The 19,603-nt window shown below is 40.1% G+C and overlaps 1 protein-coding gene across 5 annotated transcripts in view; it reads left to right on the top strand.

Moving 5' to 3' along the window:
• Positions 1-19,603, top strand: part of POU6F2 (POU class 6 homeobox 2) — a 490,693-nt gene that overhangs the window by 301,083 nt on the left and 170,007 nt on the right. The gene's annotated exons all lie outside the window — the stretch shown is intronic.

A 19,603-nucleotide genomic window follows, 5' to 3' on the forward strand; every position in this document is an offset into this window, starting at 1 on the left:
CAGCCTTAATCCCAACTCTCGTTTCTAATTGGAATTAGGACTGCCCAGTCTCCCAGGTGCACCATGGCCCCAGTCTCTCCGGACTGCCTGGTGTGTCATGCACGGCCATTCAGAATCGGCTCCAGCCACTCTTGCCAATCTCACCTCATGCCCTTCTTTGCCACTCATCCTATACTCCAGTCACTCAGAACTTCTGATCCCCACAATCCTCTTCCTTCACCTCACCCTGGAGTGCACTCCCTTCTGCACCCAGCAAACATCTACTCGAGTTCCAAGCCCCAACACAGGTGCCACCTGCCGACCTTCCCAGGTGTCCTAAGCAGCATCTGCCTAGGGGTTGCCATGCTGCTCATATGACTTTTGATTCAGTCCTTACCTTTCTGAGCCTCAGTTTCTGCATCTGCGAAATAGGAGAAAATAATAACATCATCCCATGGGGTGATTGTGGAAATGAAATGAAATAATACATTGTTTTCCTAGGGCTGTCATAGCAGAGTTCCACAAACTGGGTGGCCTAAAGCAAAAGAAATTCATTGTCTCACAGTTCTGGAAGGTTGAAGTCTGAAATCAAGGTGTCAACAGGGCCACACTCCCTCTGAAACCTGTAAAGGAAGCCTCCCTTGCCTCTTCCTCACTTTCAGTGGTTTGCCAGCAATCTTTGGCATTTCCTGGCTTGTACATTGTATCACTCCAATACTCCATCTTCCCTCTGTGTGTGTCTGTGTTTGTGTCCAAATTTTCCCTTTTATTTTATTTATTTATTTATTTATTTTGAGATAGAGTTTCACTCTGTTGCCTGGGCTGGAATACAGTAGAGCGATCTCGGCTTCCTGCAACCTCCACCTCCCGGGTTCAAGTGATTCTCCTGCCTCAGCCTCCTGAGTTGCTAGGATTACAGGCGCCTGCCACTACGCCCAGATAAGTTTTTACATTTTTAGTGAAATGGGGTTTCACTATGTTGGCCAGGCTGGTCTCGAACTCCTGACCTCATGATTAGCCTGCCTTGGCCTCCCAAAGTGCTGGGATTGTAGATGTGAGTCTCCGTGCCCAGCCCAAATTTTCCCTTTTATTAGGACATCCATTCATATTAGGTAAGGACCCCCTCATGACCTTATTTTAATGTGATTATCCCTGTAAAGACACTCTTTCCAAGTAAGGTCACACTCTGAGGTACTGACGTCAAGACTTCGACATATCTTTTTGGGAGTACTTAATTTAACCTGTGACATATAATAAATGCAAAGTTTTCATATGTGCTAAGCCCATGCTCCCCCAAGGTGTGTGCAGATGGCTTGCCCACTCCACTGTCAGGCACAACCCTGGCATCTATAATAGGTGACCCAAAGTGTGTGTTCAACCAAGGAAACACAGTCCATGCTGCTTCCTTTCCCTCCTTCTCTCCTGAGCATTCCCATCTGACCTTATAGGAATGCTAGAATCTTAAACTATGCCACTACATATAATACAAGTTCCAAGATTAAAGATTCAAACAGACCATGTCTCTGGAACCTACTCTCCTTTCCATTGCTTTCGAAAATTGCTGAAGAGGCAATTACAGCTGCATGTTGGTAATGGAAATAATTATGACTACTTTCTGAAATTAGTTATCTGATACATTTCTCATAGGTAATTTAAGGGGGGCAGTGAAGTGGGATAGGTGGGTTCTTTTACTGAAAGCTTCACACTCTATAATTGAACAGCATAATGGAGGAAGAAAACTAATGCAACCAAGATAATGCATAAGATAATGCAACCAAGAGAAAATAAGTTAACATAGCGATTGCTTTGGGATTTCACTAAACTGAAGCACTGGGAATAAAACATGAATGAAGACATCTTCTGCCTACAAAGTAATCATCAGATCCTATATTTGCAGTCTCTAAAAAGTGATGATGCTCACAAGTTGGCAGACACTAGCGAATTTCCAAACAGTTATGATCTTGCCAGAAACCGGAGCACCCTCGTGCAAAATCTCCTAGAGTAGCACCAAAGGACACTTTGCTAGATAAATGCATCTTTTAAAAGTTTTAGTATTTATGAATGGAAAGTACCAGGGAAATAGAGAATACAAGACATATGAAAACACGTTCATTTAGAAATCATGCCATTTTAATGTTTATATTTTTTTATTTTGATAAAATATACATAAAATTTGCCATTTCTTAATTTTGTTTTTGATTGATATATAATAACTGTATATACTTGTGGGGTATAGTGTGATGTCTTGATACATGTGTGCATTGCATCATGGTCAAATCAGGGTATTTAGCATACCTGTCGCCTCATACATTTATCATTTCTTTGTGGTAAAAACATTCAGAAGCCTCTCTTTTAGCTATTTTGAAATATACAATACAATATTGTTAAACACAGTTACCCTACTGTGCAATAGAATATCAGGACTTACTCCTCCTATCTAACTGTAACTTTGTACCTGTTGGCCAGTCTCTCTTTATCCCTCCTCCTCCCTCCCCTTTCCAGCCTCTGGGAACCACTATTCTACTTTCTATTTCTATGAGATCAACTTTTTTAGATCCCACATATGTGTGAGAACATGCTGTATTTGTTTTTCTGTGTCTGCTTATTTTACCTAACATAATGTCTTCCAGATTCATCCATGTTGCTGCAAATGACAGAATTTCATCCTTTTTTATGGCAGAATTAATATTCCATTGTGTGTATATACCACATTTTCTTTATCCATTCATCAGTTGATGGACACTTAGGTTGATTCCATATCTTGACTGTTGTGAGTAGTGCTGCAGTAAACATGGTAGTACAGACATCTCTTCAACATAGTGATTGCATTTCCTTTGGCTATATACCCAGTACTTGGATTGCTGGATCATATGGTAGTGCTATTTTTAATTTTTTTAGTAAACCCCATACTGTTTTCCAAAATGGCTATACTAATTTGCATTTACACCAACAGTGTATAAGAGTTCCCCTTTCTCCACATGATCATGAGCATTCATTATTTTTTGTAGCTATTCTAATTGGGGTGAAGTGGTATCTCATTTTGGTTTTGATTTGCATTTTCCTGATGATTGGTGATGTTGAGTATTTTTTCATATACAGGTTGGCCATTTGTATGTCTTCCAAGAAATGTCTGTTTGGCATTTTATTCATTTTTAAAATCAGAGTATTTGTTGCTTTGCTATTGAGTTGTTCAAGTTGCTTATATATTCTGTATATTAACTCCTTGTTGGATGCATAGTTTGCAAATATTTTCTCCTATTCCGTAGGTTGTCTCTTCACTCTGTTGATTATTTCCTTTTCTGTGCAGAAGCTCTTTAGGTTGGTATAGTCCTATCTGTCTATTTATATATTTCTGTTGCCTGTACTTTTAAGATCTTATCCAAAAAACCCTTGCCTAGACCAGTGTCATGAATCATTTCCTCTATGTTTTCTTCTATCATTTGGCGTTTTACATTTAAGTCTTTAATCCAGTTTGAATTGATTTTTGTATGTGATGAGAGATGGGGGTCTAGTTTCATGTTTCTGCATGGCGATATCTAGTTTTGCGAGACCATTTATTGAAGAGAATGTCCTTTTCCCAATATGTGTTCTTGGCACCTTTATCAAAAATCAGTTCGCTGTAAGTGTATGGATTTATTTTTGTGTTATCTATTTCATTCTGTTGGTCTTGGGGTCTGTTTTTCTAAAAGTACCATGCTGTTTTGGTTACTATAACCTTGTAGTATATTTTGGAGTCAGGTAATGTGATGCCTCCAGTTTTGTTCTTTTTGTACAAAATTGCTTTGGCTGTTTGGGTTGTTTTGTGGTTCTATATGAATTTTAAGATTGTTTTTCTACTTTTGTAAAGAATGTCACTGGTATTTTAATAGGGATTGCATTGAATCTATAGATCACTTGGGTAGTATGAACATTTTAATAATAATAATTCTTTCAGCCCATGAACTCAGGATATCTTTCCATTTATGTGTATCCTCTTCAATTTTTTTCATCAGTGCTTAAATAGCTTTCATTGTAGAGATCTTTCAACTCCTTGGTCAAATTTATTCTTAGGTAACTTCTTTTTTTGGAACTATTGTTAACGGGATTGCTTTCTTGACTTCTTTTTCAGATAGTTCACCATTGGCATTTAGAAATGCTATGATTTTTGAATGTTGATTTTGTCTGCTGCAACTTTACTGGATTCATTTATTAGTTTTAAAGGATTTTTGGTGGAGTCTTAAAGTTTTTTTATATATAAGATTATGTCATCCATAAATACGGACAATTTAACTTCTTCCTTTCCAATTTGAATGCCCTTTATTTTTTTCTCTTTCCCAATTACTAATCATTTTTAAGTGTATATTTCAGTCGTACTAAGTACATTCACATTCGTAAGTAACCATCATTGCTATCCATCTCCAGAACTTTTTCATCATCCCAAACTCAAGCTCAGTACTCATTAAACAAAAACTCCCCATTCCCTCCACTCCCAAGCCCTTGACAACCACCATTCTACTTTCTGTCTCTATGAATTTGATTACTCTAGGTATCTCATGTAAATGGAATCATACAGTGTTTGTCCTTTGGTGACTGGCTTATTTCATTAGGGTACTGTCTTCAAGTTTCATTCATGTTGTAGTATGTATCAGAATTTCCCTTTTAAGACTAATAATATTCCATTGTATGTATACACAGCATTTTCTATATCCATTCATCTGCTGATGAACACTTGGGTTGTTTCCACTTTTTGGCTATTGAGCAAATCATGACTTTTTAAGCTTACTTTATTTTAACTCATTCCCAAGACCTGCTGATTTTACCAAATGAACATGTTAAAGAAACACTGCTTCTGGATAGCTCAGCCAAAAGACACTTAACTTATTTTCCTTTCTAACTTTTTAAAAATTTAGCACCTGTACTCTCTCAAAGTGTGACACGTGCATTATTAAATTATTGCAGATAATACAAAAGGATACAGATAATACAAGAGGATGCAAACGCTTAAACCATTTAAGTGATTTGCTTAAGCACACATCTAGTAAATGACAAAAAAAGGATGCAAATTTCACTCTCTGCCTCCAAGGCCAAACCTTTCCCCTACACCGTGAACCAAGCCTCTCCGGTATTATCAAGATCCTATGGTCTAGAGAAGGCTGGAAATCCCTTTGCAAAAGAGATTTGGTAGTAAGATAAATTTTTCTGATGTACACATGATTAAGATAGATACTTGGTCTGTATATTGGAGATCTGACTGATTCCATTTAACACATCTCAGGCTGGGCTAGTGCAACTCTTTCTGTATAAGTGCATGTTTGTAGCCCAAAGTCTTCACAGTAGGGAGCAAATTTACAAGGAAGTCATATAATAAACTCCTGTGAGCTCTGGCTTTCTGTGGATTTTGTAGCTGTGGTAGTAGCTGTTCACAAGATAAAGGGATTTGGTGGGGTTTGAAAAGGCTGCTGTTCTTACATGTATTTTCTCCAATGAATGTGCTGGAGGAAATTTCTCCTGACAGGTTATTATAACTACTTTAATGTACATATGACCAGCTGTCTGGAAAACAGTTCAAATTTTGAATTGTTCATAAATATACTGACATACTTGGTGACAGCACATGAACATTTAATTTGATCTTTGTTCTTTAAAATAGTAATATTGCCTTCTGAGTGGGAGTAAGACACTATATCCTTTGGAGAAATACACAGCTCTTTCTCTGTGCTAGCTTTCAAATACTTTCTGTTTGGTATTTTAATGTGTTTGCCATTAAAATCATAGCAGGTTTGGGCTTTTCCATGCCACTCAAGAAATAAGAAATGGCTTTTCTTCCTAATTCAAGTTAAATTCAGTCAAGGTTGGTAAGAATATGATGTTATTTCAAGGTCTGTTTCCTCCTCCTCTGACCATATAAGATGCCCAAATATCTGTAGTCCCTAACAATAAAGATGGTCTGGGTGGGTCTAGGCATCATTGCTTCTCACAGGCAAGGTCCGTAGGATCCACAAGAAGGCTGGAGGCTTCACTCCCCGTGGACCTGGGTCAGCCATGGGGATCTCCGTGAAGCTCTCAAGCCCACAGCTTGCATCCCTCACAGGGGATACCATTACATCTTACAGAGAAGGAAACCTAGGCTGTTCTAGTGGCTTGGCCAGAAAGCGACAAATCCTGGATTTTATCCCCAAGTCTTCAGACTCCTAATCAACAAATTTTTTTCTAATTTGTCACAACTGTATTTCTTGGACTTTTCCTCCTGCAAGGATTGGAACTCATCTTCTATCACCTGTAATATACCCCCTCACTGCAGATAGTTCCCACTGAAAACTCTGATGCCATGTTTGGTTCCATGCATGATGCACAGATTGACAAAGGGACAAGGTATTTTTCAAGACTGCCCATAAAACCTGTAGGATGTATGGCCACCATGCTCATCGTATGTCGTGTATTAGTCACTCACAGTTTTCTGCCCAACTCACCCACTAGCAAAAAGGCCCTTTGAATGTGTGGTTTGTTTCCATAGCCAGTAGCAATGGTTCAAGAATTCCCTTTTGTGAATATAGGGAAAGTTGCCAGCTTGTTTTAAAACATATTTGTACTGGATCCAATTGCTACATGTTTCTAAAACTTGCATGGCAATGATATGGATTTCAACATTTTGTAAAACTAAAACACTCCCCAGGTAAGGACCAAAAACCTTATGTTTTAAATCATGTGAGTTAGATTTTGAAAAAAATACATATTTCAATCAGCCATAGAGGAAAGAAATCTGAAAATTATATAAAATGTTGTAAAAAGACTGGCCCTTGGCTTTACACAAGATGCTGAAGTTTCTCAGTAGCATCCCCAGCAACTCCATGTTCCCCCATCTGTCAGCTCCTCTGCTTTCTTCCCACTCCTGGTGCCTTCCTCCCCATCCTCATATCTAAACCTGTTTTCAGGATTGCATATGATCTTAGCATTTATTCCCAGAAGGGAGGAAGCATGTAGCTCTATATTTCCAGCACAGGACACACGTTGATTCGCAATAAATGCTGATTGATGGAGTGAATTAGTGAGCAAAAGGGTGAATAGGAGTCCATGAGCTTCTCTTCCCACCAGCATCTGTACTTAAGCCTCATCTCTACTTGTTGACCAAACAGTTTTTTCTTTTAAACTTTAGCCCCAGAGAGCAAGTGAGAGAGTTAACCTGGGAAGTGGGAAGTGGGGAGGGAACCTCTGAAATAATGATTTATACGGTCATACATCTATCCCACTTACCAGCAAGATGGGGCTGGGGGCTACATTACATAGATTCAAAGACTCTAGAGCTGTTAACCAAGCCAAGGATCACAAAAGTATTTCTGTAGCAGGATGGCTGGGGTACACACAGTTTACAAGGAGGAAACATCCTGGCTCAGCAGTGAATCCAAAATAATTTAACTACCTACAGTACTTATATAATATTATTTCCTAATGTCATTGTTTTAGAAACCACAGCATGGTTTAATCTTACTGTCAAATTAAGGGGCAGAATTAACAGGACAATGTAAAATGTTCGAGTTACCCGTTCTGTAAATGGTGTGTCTTTCCAGATGTGCTCAGATTTCTCTCAAATACAGTTTTCTGGCCTCTCCTTGAACATTCCTGGTGATGGGGAGTTTATGTTGGACAGGTCAGATTGTTAGAAAAGTTCTTTATATTACTCTGGAATCTCATTCCCTGATGTGAAACTTTCATTCCTTGGCCCTATTACGCCAGTTGACATCAGCATTTTCCAAAGTGTGTCCCAAGGATGCAAATTAGTTTCATAGAATGTTAAAAGGTATCATCATCATTGTCATCATCATCATCATTATTAGAGACAGGGTCTCGCTCTGTCTCCCAGACTGGAGTACAGTGGTATGATCCTGGCTCACTGCAGCCTCAAACTCCTGGCCTCAAGGGATCCTCCCACCTCGTCCTCCCAAAGTGCTGGGATTACAGGCATGAGCCACCATGCCCAGCTTTTTGAGGTATCTTTTTTTTTTTTTTTCCATAAGGCAGAGAGGGAGTTTGTAGTCGAATAAGAATGAAATTCCTAACTTAAAAGATGTCAAGCGAGTCTGCTTCCCCAGGGACTTTTCAGAGCTTTTAATAGGCTAATGGATGCTGTGAGTCTCTATGAGGAACAGGCACAAAGCCTGCTTGTGCCCACAGCATCACTTTTTACCGACACAGCATCTCTCAAGATTAATAGCCCAACAAGCAATGTTTGCAAATAGTTACCTAAATAAACATAAAATAAACCTACTTTCCCTTCCTCAAACCAGCTCATCGAATAACTGAAGAAAATGATAAGGAAGATAAGTTCTAAATCCAGGCTAAATATCGTAGTTCCCTCAAGGCTTGTGCGCGTGATATGGCTTTTAGACCTCAAAGTCCCGGTTCCCTCCCCTGGATTCTTCTCCCTGTATGTTACCCCTGCTTTAATGCACAACGCCTTAAAGCTAACGTCCAGATTTCTAGTTACTATTAGCTATTGTTCACCCTCCCAGGCCTTAGCTTCTCATCAAAAAATGGGGAAAGTCATAGTCTACCAACCTCACTGAGTCATTTTGAAAATTAAATGTGTTCATGTATGCAGAGTACTATGTAAGTGTTAGCTGTGTGTCATTCTATTCAGGGCCTATTCCCTCTTAACTGTGTTTGGTTTTGCCTTTCACATTCAGATTCCAGGAGACACACACAGAAAAAAACACTTGGGTCAATCATCTGATGATCTAAAGTCTTACCTGTCCAGGGTCATTCTTTGGTTCCCAGGTGCTTTGCTACTCCAAGATCACCTGGAAGCTGGTAAGAAATGAAGAATCCCAGACCCCAGCCAAGACCCACTAAATCAGAGCCTGCATTTTCTCAAGAATGTCAGGTGATTTCTGGGCACATGAATTGAAAACCACTGGCCTTGACGGTATACGCAGCACCCAGCCCAGGGCTCTGTATATAACAGATGCTCAGGGGGGCTTTCTGGCATCTGTGTATATTGACTGAACCTGTATACTGTCAGTAGGGGAGATTGCTGACTGGGAAATTCTGGAGTCAAAGGCATGTAAAGGGTAAATGGGAAGGGGCTTGGTTCGTAGCAATTAACACTATTTGCCTAAATAAGATCAAAGAGCAGGTACATTTTAAACACTAAAAAATAATTAAAGACCAAGCTTTTGAATTATGCTTTCTTTTTAATTGTTTAATCTTCTTTCAATTATAATCAAAGCTCTAGCTTTTGTGAGAGATAATGTTAACAATTCAGGGGACTATTTATCCTCAGAGGCAATAAGCTGCAGTGTCAAGACCACCATCTTTGCAATAAGACAGACCTGAGTTCAAAGCCCACCTCTGCCCCTCTCAGCTATGTGACATGGCAAATAACCTCACCTCTCTGAGCTTCAACATCCTCAGCTGTCACAGGGGCATAATCATGCTCATCTCATAGGACAGAGGAGGATAAACTAATATAGAGCTTCTAGCATAGTGACTCACAAGTAGCAGACATTCAGCAAACACTAGTTCCTTTCTTCTTCATCACATATCAGCCTTCTGTTCACGAACACCTTGGTCAAGTGAAAAATTGCAATGCTTTTTGGAGATACAACCACCTGGTCCATTGGCTTGCAAGCCCATCATTTAAGCAGATCGTGAATCATCTGTCCTACAGTGCCCATAGTCATCATAGTTTTCAACCCATTCCCTAATCGTGGTCAGTAGAGACCACATAATAAAAAAGCAGTGAATGAACATATCAGGTAGATGCTGACAACACCACTAGGTACTTCATTGAATCAGAGTGTCTGGCACATAGAAGACGCTCAGTCAATGTTGGCCACCGAAACTGATAGTGACATACAGTTGTGGAGGACATCTATGCCAAGCCCCCATGCAATTTCAGCATCCTTCCACACCAGGTGCTCTTCAGCCTCTGCCTATTCAGCCCCACCAAGAGGTATTCAAAGATTATCAAGACAGCACATTCCATCCTTAGAATAAAAGATTAAACCCTTATTTCATTTTGAGCCCAAAACGGTGCGTTTTCTCCAACTTCCAAACATTGCTTCTGATCTTCCCCTAAACTGGAGCTACCTAACTATAATTCCTTCTTTTCAGGAGAACATCTTGAAATATGTTAGGGTAGCACTCACACCTCCCTTTCTGCTTATTTTCCCCCCATGAACCCCTCCTCATTGGTTCCTCCTCCCAGCTGCCTCTGGAAGGCATCACTGGCAGCTCTGCCTGGCCACAGGTCCTCCTGCCCCAGCATTACCCAACACAGGCCACACATACAGGGGGCCACTCCAGCCCCAGCACTGGAAACTAGACAGCAAGACCCAGAAGGGCTGGTCCAGCCTTGCTATGAACTCCGTTCTAGCTATGAAACCACCCACCACGTGACCATTTTATTTTCAAGTCAAACTGTTAGGTTATATAATTAAATAAAGTTTTTTGTTTGTGTCATAAGCCAAGTTTTGCTGATCTTGCAGCTATACAGTTTTGTTTTGTTTTACCTAAAAGCGGGACTTCATTTTTTTTTTCAGTTGATGCCCACATTAAAAATTGTCAAGGTCTTTTAGTATTCTGATTCAATTGTGAAAAATATTAGCTATCAACTTTCACTAATAGGTCTGTCTGTGATTCAGTTCCAAATTGTTTGAAATTCTAGTGTAGCTCTTGATCATTCAACAACATCAAAATGATGTTTTAAAAGAAAATGTATACAGTCAGTTTTTAACAGTTTTCTCCAATAATCTGAATTTATGGTTCAAAATAGTTGGCCTTGGTTTTGGTAGTCGATTAAAACAAATACCCTAGCCCCACAGTATAGCACGCAGGTCATTTTCAGTCAGAGATGTTACATTTCCATTATTATTTGTAGTGTGGGGCAATCCTCATGGGGCTTGTCATGTCATCTCTGGACCGTGTTCCTCCTCACAGTTGCTGTCAGTAGTGTGAGCAGTGTTGCTGTTGGACCATCTCAGCTTAGTCAGACGGACTTGGGCCTCAGTTCTCACCACCCAGTGACATTTACAAAGAATAGGCATAAGACTCAGGATGACAAAATGTAAAATCATTTCTCTTTAATTAGAAATGATAAGATAAAGCACCATCCAAAGTTAGAAAAAAAATATGACTTAAGGAAAAGTATTTTTTAACGTGTTTATGTCAGCACCTTTCTTGTACACACAGATATACAAGTTTTAAAAATCCATTTCATATTTTGGGTTGGACAACATCCTCTTTCATATTAGTCCGTCTCCTGAATTGCTCTTCACAACTCCTTCCCCAGGGCTACTTGTCCCCACCCATCCCCATTCAGAATCCAGATCTCACCGGAAACATTCTTGTTGCCACAGCCTACCTCTCCCTTGCACCTTTCGCTTGAGTAGCTCCCTGGGACAGTGCTAAAAGCTTCAGGCTGCCTAGACAAGTCTCCCCACCAAGCCACTCCCTGTACAGAATCTGTTCTTGAGCTTTGTGCTCTGATATTCTCGATTCTAAACATGGGTAGGCTATATTCCTTTTAATCAAGTTCTTCAAGCTGAACCTGGTGAATGGCTTTGCAAGTGCCATTTTTCAGGGACTAAACATATCGTGCTACAAAATCAATAGATGTTATATTCAAAGTTAATTATCATTTCTAGGTAAATTTAAATTAACTGAGAATTTCCTTGAACGTTTTTGTTTGTTGTCATCCTTATGTTTTCCTCCTTAAGAGGCAGACCATGTGTCAATCTTACAAATCCAGCTATGCCCTCTCTTTGCAACCTCCTGAGATGCTCTGCAGGACTTTATGTGGTGACTACCTGTCCTCCTTCAGGGACTGCAGGCCTGTGATTATGAAATAGAAATAAAGCAAAATTCCCCAGCTCATAAAAGACTTCACTCACACCACGTGGCTGCCAACCAATAGGAGTAAGATGGGCTAGTGAAAATTGCAAGTACTTGTGGAGAAGATTAGATGATTGATTCAAATAATGTCACTACTATAAAGAAAATTTTAATCTGGATTTATCAAGCCCCTTTGGTCCAGGTCTCTGAACTAATATTTAGAGGCAAAGAGGACAGAAAAAAAAAAAAAAAAAAAAGCACAAGTTTACAGAACAAGGAACTCAGCATCATTGCTTAAGGTTTAAACTTTAAGTTTTTATCTGGCTGTGGATATAAATTTGGGTTACCTCTTCTAGCTGATAACGTATAGCATTTGGCAAATCTGTGCTTAAAAATTCACAAATTAATTCCCATCTAATCACCACTGTCTTTCATTTTAGAATAATTAAACATGAGCTAATTAAATGAGTCTTTTGAAAGTGAGATTATTTGATAGCATTAACCTACATTTGACCTGCTGAGGATGGCACATTAGATGCCAATGCATTATTTCAGGTTTTGCATTATGTTGTTGTGACCTGCTATAATTATAAGAGGAAAATTTTTCTCTTTATTTATGACACATAATTTTAGATGGCTTCCAGATATTACATCTCATCTTGTTTTGCTCTTTATGAGATGCAAAGATATTGCCACCATCCAATTACACTGGATCACAAGCTTTAGACCGGCTATGATTTAATTACATTTTTGTTCATTCAAACATTTATACCTCGTGTGTGTTTCCAAATCATTCTCACTCTAGTGGCAATTTCCCAACGTGGCTGCAGGAGAAAATGGCCTTTGAAACAGTGCTCTCTCTGCAGTGCTTTAGAGAGAGAGGCAGCACATGAAGAAGAACCTCAGAAGATGAGGGCTAGGCTTGAAGCACGGTTTCATTAATACCGGATGGCAGAAAAGGAGCCAAGTCCCAGATAATGAGGAAGGAGTTGCAATTTTTTTTAAAGCTATCTGGTGACAGGGAAAACAAAAATGACATTCAGCTGACGAATGAGCGGAGTTTGACCTAGCCTTTTGACCCTTGACAATCAATCTTACCTGCTACTTCATAAAGAATTATAGCTCTGCCACTCACATTTGACTCTGTATTTTTACTATTCCCTTTACCTTTTTTTTTTTTTTTAATACATGGTCCAAGAAGATAAATGTTTATGTTGGATATAGCAGAGAGGAGGAAATATGGGATACTCAGAAGGGGGAAAAAAACTGAGAAGGAGAGGAGAGAGCAACAAGACCAACAGCCATAAAATGGTTTATACATGCAATTCAGAATTGTCAGGGATATTTTTTATGTGGCTGACCAAAATAGCAACTGGAAATAACTGATGACCCTACACACCTTCCACCCGGCGCCGGGCTAGATGTGAAACCTATAAGAGTGGGGGTGAGTCCCGAGCTCATCTTCCTGTCTGCCTCTCTGCTCCCCACCTCCACCCTCTCTAAAATGCATCCAGTGAATTTTGATGAATCCATTCCCCGTCCACGGGCTCTGATTACCATGTTCATTGTGAAGGGTTTTGGTGCCATCATTATGGGAAAGAAAGGGCAGGGAGTCCTGGCCACTGAGCTGTTTTCATTATCTGTTCAAGGCACCAATGCAAGCACTAAACAGTTTGTGCTCGGCCCATCTTTGTGTCCACCAACAGAGCGTAAATCAACAGGGGTGAAAAGTAGCTCACTGGGGAGCGAGAGGAAACACCTTAGGAATAAGAGATAAGGTCTTCGTTGGCATTTGGGATGCATTGTTTTTATATATAATTTGATGCGGTTTGTCTCAAGACACTAAAACTGAGGCTAGTCAGCAAGAGCAACTTTATGGAGCTTGCCCTGTACATAAGCTGACCATGGGGAGTTTTTCTTGCCTTTATAGAGTCGAGAATCTTTTCATGACTGTACTGGAGACTTCAGCAAAAACTCAGTCTCATAGAAGCGGAATGCAATTTTTGACCATTCAATCCATCCTGGATCACTGGGAACGTTAAGCTGTTTTCCTCATCTAGCCTCAAAGAAGATAATTGGGTTGGGGGGCTGCAGGGATGGCTGGGGTCTTGCAGTGGCTCTCAAAACCAAAAAAGAAAACATCAGAGTAGGCTGTGCGCAAATGAGCCGTTTCGTACCTCCCTTCCAAACCCCGAATCTTGCTTGGGCTCTGGCCGCCTCTGTCTTACCAAAAAGAGAAAGCATCCAGGCAAATAAAAAGAACCTAGTGATTGCGTGAAAAGCCACCAATCTAGCTCTGACACCTTTCTCGGTAAGCAGGGATTACACTTTGCTGTTAGCCGCTTCACAAAGCCAGCTGTGCGCCTGCCTCTGCCCGGCCCCGACGGTGCCAGGCTCCTCTCTGCTGCGGGTCAGCTGGCTTCTGGGGGGCCACCCTCCCTCTCCTTGGCATGGAATTCGTTACTTCCAGAATTACAAGGCTGACAAGCTGTTTATGAGGTGTTTCCGGGCTGTGTGTTCATAAAGAATCTCCCCTCAAAATAGGGCGAGCTCGTTAATGGAGGAAGTGAGGTCAGTGTGCTTCTGACAATCCTAACAAGATGACAGAATTTATGAAGCGCTGCGGTAGAAAGATGTAGTTATCTGCAGTCTATTCATATAATAAGGCCGCTTGGGGCCCGTCGTTACTCCCCTTGAATTTATTTTCCTTTCTTCATTCCTTTTTGTTGTCCGGCTCTTCCTTTGGCTTTCCTTTCGGATCTACCTAGAACCATTATCGCTTCAGACCACGTGATAGCCGAGGGAAGCAGGCCCACTTCCTGTTAAGGATGGGTGGCCCGTTCACTGGACTGTGTGTGAACCCCGGTGACAAGGGAGGGTGGAGTGGGCCAAGTCTTTGGGTCAGCTTTGCATAAAACCTAAATGTGGTACCAAATCAGCAGCACCTGAAGACCGAGTTCACATTTTAACTCAACCCAAAAAAGGAAACCCGTGACTGTTTTTAAAGTCCAACTCTTTCTCATCCCAATGAACGAGGACATCTCTTTTTCTACAACCCTGTGAGGTGAGGTGAAATTGCACTGTCCCTGGGGAAACTGAGAGGCATGAAACCATCCTGGCCTGAGTGATCAGCGAAGACTGGATGGGGAGGTCCAGCTTGGTCTGCACAAGACTGGAGCAAAGGATGAAAAACTTTGAAAGGGAAAAAGGAAAAAAAGTAAGTTAAACCCTTTTGGTATTAAAATTGAGAGGCAATTTGTTAATAGCATTTATTAGTTGTAAAAACTAATAACCAGTTAAGTTGATTAGTAAAAGGAAATAAAGTAGTGCCTGTATTCAAACTATGAGAATCAGGTCTAGTGAGATCATTTCACTGTGGGAGAAAGGTCCCTTCAGAAACCTGAAACCATGATGGCAACAGCTGTCTCTATTTTTTACTCTGACTTGATGTTTCTGGTTAGCCAGAGGAATTAGAAGTAGGTTTTTCCAGCCAATTTGTTAACAAGATGCATTCATTTGTCTAACAATAGTATTAGGTTGGCGCAAAAGTAATTGCGGTTTTTGCCATCAAAAAGTGATGGCAAAAAGCGATGGCAAAAACCACAATTACTTTTGCGCCAACCTAATACTACACAATCCACTGGGGAGAAGGAAAAATAAAAAGAGTTACTTTGGATAAGCAAAACAAAAACATGCTACTGTTTCCTCTGCCTATCTAGACTGAAAGAGCTGTGAAGTAGCAAAAGAGCCAAACTGTGTGTAAGTACAAAACAAAATTTATCTCAGTTGATGTTTTTATAAAACAGAGTCCATCTTACCTTTGAATTTTATGGACCAAAATGTTGTTTCACTAGTTGCTGTACCATTGAAGTCCACCAAATGCACCCTGATTCATTCTAGAGCTCAAGAAAGGGATGGGCCAGTCTTGGTTAAGCCAGATCACCAAGAGATGGCAGGACCTGTGCCACTCCCAGCAGGGGTGGCTAATGTTTATCCAGCCTGATGGGTGTAGGGTGGCTGGGCCATTCCACCTCCCACCTCAAGATTGACTTGTATTTGACCCCAGGGAAGACCTCTTATGGGATGCTTGCTGGACTGAGCCCACAACATGAGAACATTTCAGAGTCAGGCCTGGGACTTATGTTGAAAGACACTCTGCATTGAAATCAGGGGCGGGTCCTGGGGGAATGATCATTTCATTTGGCGAATGAAACAGGAATTCCACAATACTTCATGGATTCAGAGAAACAGATTATGAATAGATTCTCATTTTTCGGTCATGCCATGAACTACTCTAGGGTTAAAAAATTATATTTCTTAGTTTGCATTCTGGTAGTCCTAAGCAAGATTGTTTTAAATGCTTGCTTGCTTGCTTTTTTTTTTTTCAAAATATTTAGTCCAAATTGTCTTTTCCACAGTTATCAGAGTCCTAAAATGAAAACCTAGGGGGTATGCGTGATTGAGTTCTGTAAGCAACACACGAAAATCAGTCTAACTGCTTTCTTGGGACTCATGGGAGAATTGTGACGTGACAATAAGAAGTTGGATATGGGGAGGCCCAGTGCGGTGGCTCACGCCTGTAATCCCAGTACTTTGATAGGCCGAGGCGGGCAGATCACTTGAGGTCAGGAGTTTGAGACCAGCCTGGCCAACATGGTGAAACCCAGTCTCTACTAAAAATACAAAAATTAGCCTGGCGTGATGGCACATGCCTATAATCCCAGCTACTGGGGAGGCTGAGGCAGGAGAATCGCTTGAACCTGGGAGGTGGAGGTTGCAGTGAGCCAAGATTGCCCCATTACACTCCAGCCTAGGAGAAGAAGTGAGACTCCGTCTCCAAAAAAGAAGTTGGATATGGGAAAGAAGAGTGGCAGCTCAAACCTAGTATTTAGATAGAGTAGTCCTGTGTGTTGTTATATCTTGATATCAAGAAGGCAATGCTACTTAAAATGATTTCTACAAACTTCATAGACAATTGTCTAAAATTCATCCACTAGAAATTTCTTCCAATATATAATTAAACATATTCTTTCAAAACACAAGTAACTTGAGAGAATTAACCCAGTTTTATTTCATATCAACAACATGTACCAGACACTAGACTAGACCTGAGGAATCTTGGTACCTGCCTCTGTAAAGCTGCATTTCCCTGTTATCAGCCCTTCACACTTTAGCAGAAATTAATGAGGAGCTAGTGCTGTTATCAGACCTTTGCACCCTAATGGGAGTGCATTTATCACATAAATGTCATCTGTAATAGCTTTATGAGAGCAAAGTCACATCATAGATTTAAGGAAATTGAAACTTAGAGATATCTATTAAGCTTATAGTATTCTAGTTAATAATTTCAGAGTGGAGCCCAGTCTTCCTACATAGATTCCTGCTGTACATTCTCTGGGTTTTTATCTTTTGTGAGAACAAGAGAAAATGGAAGAGTTATTAGATGCTCATTAATTACAGAAACTCTAAAATTAATTATTTATGAGAACTCTAAAACTAATTAATCTGTTTTCCCTACCAAACAAATTTTAAATCTGAATTTTTGCCTTCCCTACTAAGTATCATTGAGAACAAGATACAATATCTTAGTCTAATTGTAGCCCTAATACTCACATTTACCATGTATAGCATTTCAATAAGCTACCATCCCTTCTCCTCTTCCTCTCCTCACATCCAATCTGTTTTCCACGCTGCAACCAGCGTGATCTTCTCAAAATGCAAATTTTAGCATTTTGTACCCTTGTAGCTCTTGGGATAAAAGCCAAAATCCCTAAACACAGCCTCAAGGCCTCCTTCCCCAGGTCTCCTGACTCCCTCCCACTGCACAGTCTGTGCTGGTGGTGTTCCCTCTGCCTGGAACCTCCTTCCTCCCCACCTCATTGGCACCAACTCATCCTCAGGGAAGCCACCCTCCTGCCAGTGCCACCCCAGAGGGGAACAGATGTAACTTTACATTCCTATATGTGATTATTAGCTTAACGTGTTTTCCCCTCTTGACGCTTAGCTCTATGACAATAGGTTCTACACCTGGTTTTGTTCACTATGGTTTCTCCAGTGCCTGGCCCATGTCTCTCATTGAATGCATGAATGAACGAATCAATGAATGAATGAGTTTAACTGCTTCATAAAAGCTCAGTGCATTTATTTATTCAAAGCCACAGGAGTTTTTAACATTAACATGCTCTGTAACCCCAAGGTATCAGAACAATATGTACAGCCCGGAGAGCTTTTAATTCTAAAATATATTTGAAAGCCTAGGTCTGTTTGTGCCTATGAGACAAAAGAGTTAAATTAAGCAGTAATTAAGAAGAGTTGATGATTAGAGTAAAATCTCTAATAATAATGCTTTTTAAATTGTATTCTTTAGTGTTTATGCCTAATTATTTTAATAGGGGTGTTTACAAACACACATACACATACACACACACACACACACACACACACACACACACACACACATGAATTCACATATACGTGCACATTTTTTTCCTGGACTGAATTCAGCATTCCTGTATGAAGTCTGAGACTTTGTACTATGATACCATCAGCATCACGGGTTTCCTATTGGCATTTACCTTCACTATAAGACAAAAATCACTTGAAACTCACATTTAACAAGTGATGACGTGGGCCACGTTATTATAATACAAGAAAAACTTGGTTAAGTGTATAGTTGCCTCAGACCAATCTCTTATCTGACTACTACTTGAACCAAAAAGTAGGGAAACCGGAAATCTATTGCTTTAACATATATAATCATGGCCTGAATTAGTTTGCAAGACCACTGTGACATATATTGCTCCCCTCTTAAGTCCAGTCTTAAATAAAAGTATGTGTCTTGATGGATATTTCTACAATACAGCTGCTAGGCTGCCATCTGTGAAATGTCCCTGACAGTATGGGATGGGATTCAGTGTAGTCAAATTAAACTATCCTCAACAAAGCTGCAGGTATCACACTACCTGACTTCAAACTATATTACAAGGCTACAGTAACCAAAACAGCATGGTACTGGTACCAAAACAGACATACAGATCAATGGAACAAAACAGAGACCTCAGAAATAACACCACACGTCGACAACCATCTGATCTTCGACAAACTGACAAAAACAAGCAATGGAGAAAGGATCTCCTATTCAGTAAATGATGCTGGGAAAACTAGCTAGCCATATGCAGAAAACTGAAACTGGACCCCTTCCTTATATCTTATACAAAAATTATCTCAAGGTGGATTAAATACTTAAATCCAAAATCCAAAAAAACCCAAAACCATAAAAACCCTAGAAGAAAACCTAGGCAATACCATTAAGGACGTAGGCATGAGCAAAGACTTCATGACAAAAACACAAAAAGCAATTGCAACAAAAGCCAAAAATGACAAATGGGATCTAACTAAACTAGAGAGCTTCTGCACAGCAAAAGAAACTAGCATCAGAGTGAACAGGCAGCCCACAGAATGGGAGAAAATTTTTGCAATCTACCCATCTGACAAAGGTCTAATATCCAGAATTTACAAAGAACTTAAACAAATTTACAAGAAAAATATCAACCCCATCAAAATGTGGGCAAAGGATATGAACAGACACTTCTCAAAAGAAGACATTTACGTGGCCAACAAACATGAAAAAAAGCTCAACATCACTGATTATCAGAGAAATGCAAATCAAAACCACAAGATACCATCTCATGCTAGTCAGAATGGCAATAAAAAAGGCAAGAAACAATAGAATGCTGGTGAGGCTGTGGAGAAATAGGAACACTTTTACACCGTTGGTGGGAATGTAAATTAGTTCAACCACTGTGGAAGACAGTGT

The sequence above is a fragment of the Homo sapiens genome, chromosome 7 (genome assembly GCF_000001405.40).
Source record: "Homo sapiens chromosome 7, GRCh38.p14 Primary Assembly".
Taxonomy (NCBI): Eukaryota; Metazoa; Chordata; class Mammalia; order Primates; family Hominidae; genus Homo; species Homo sapiens.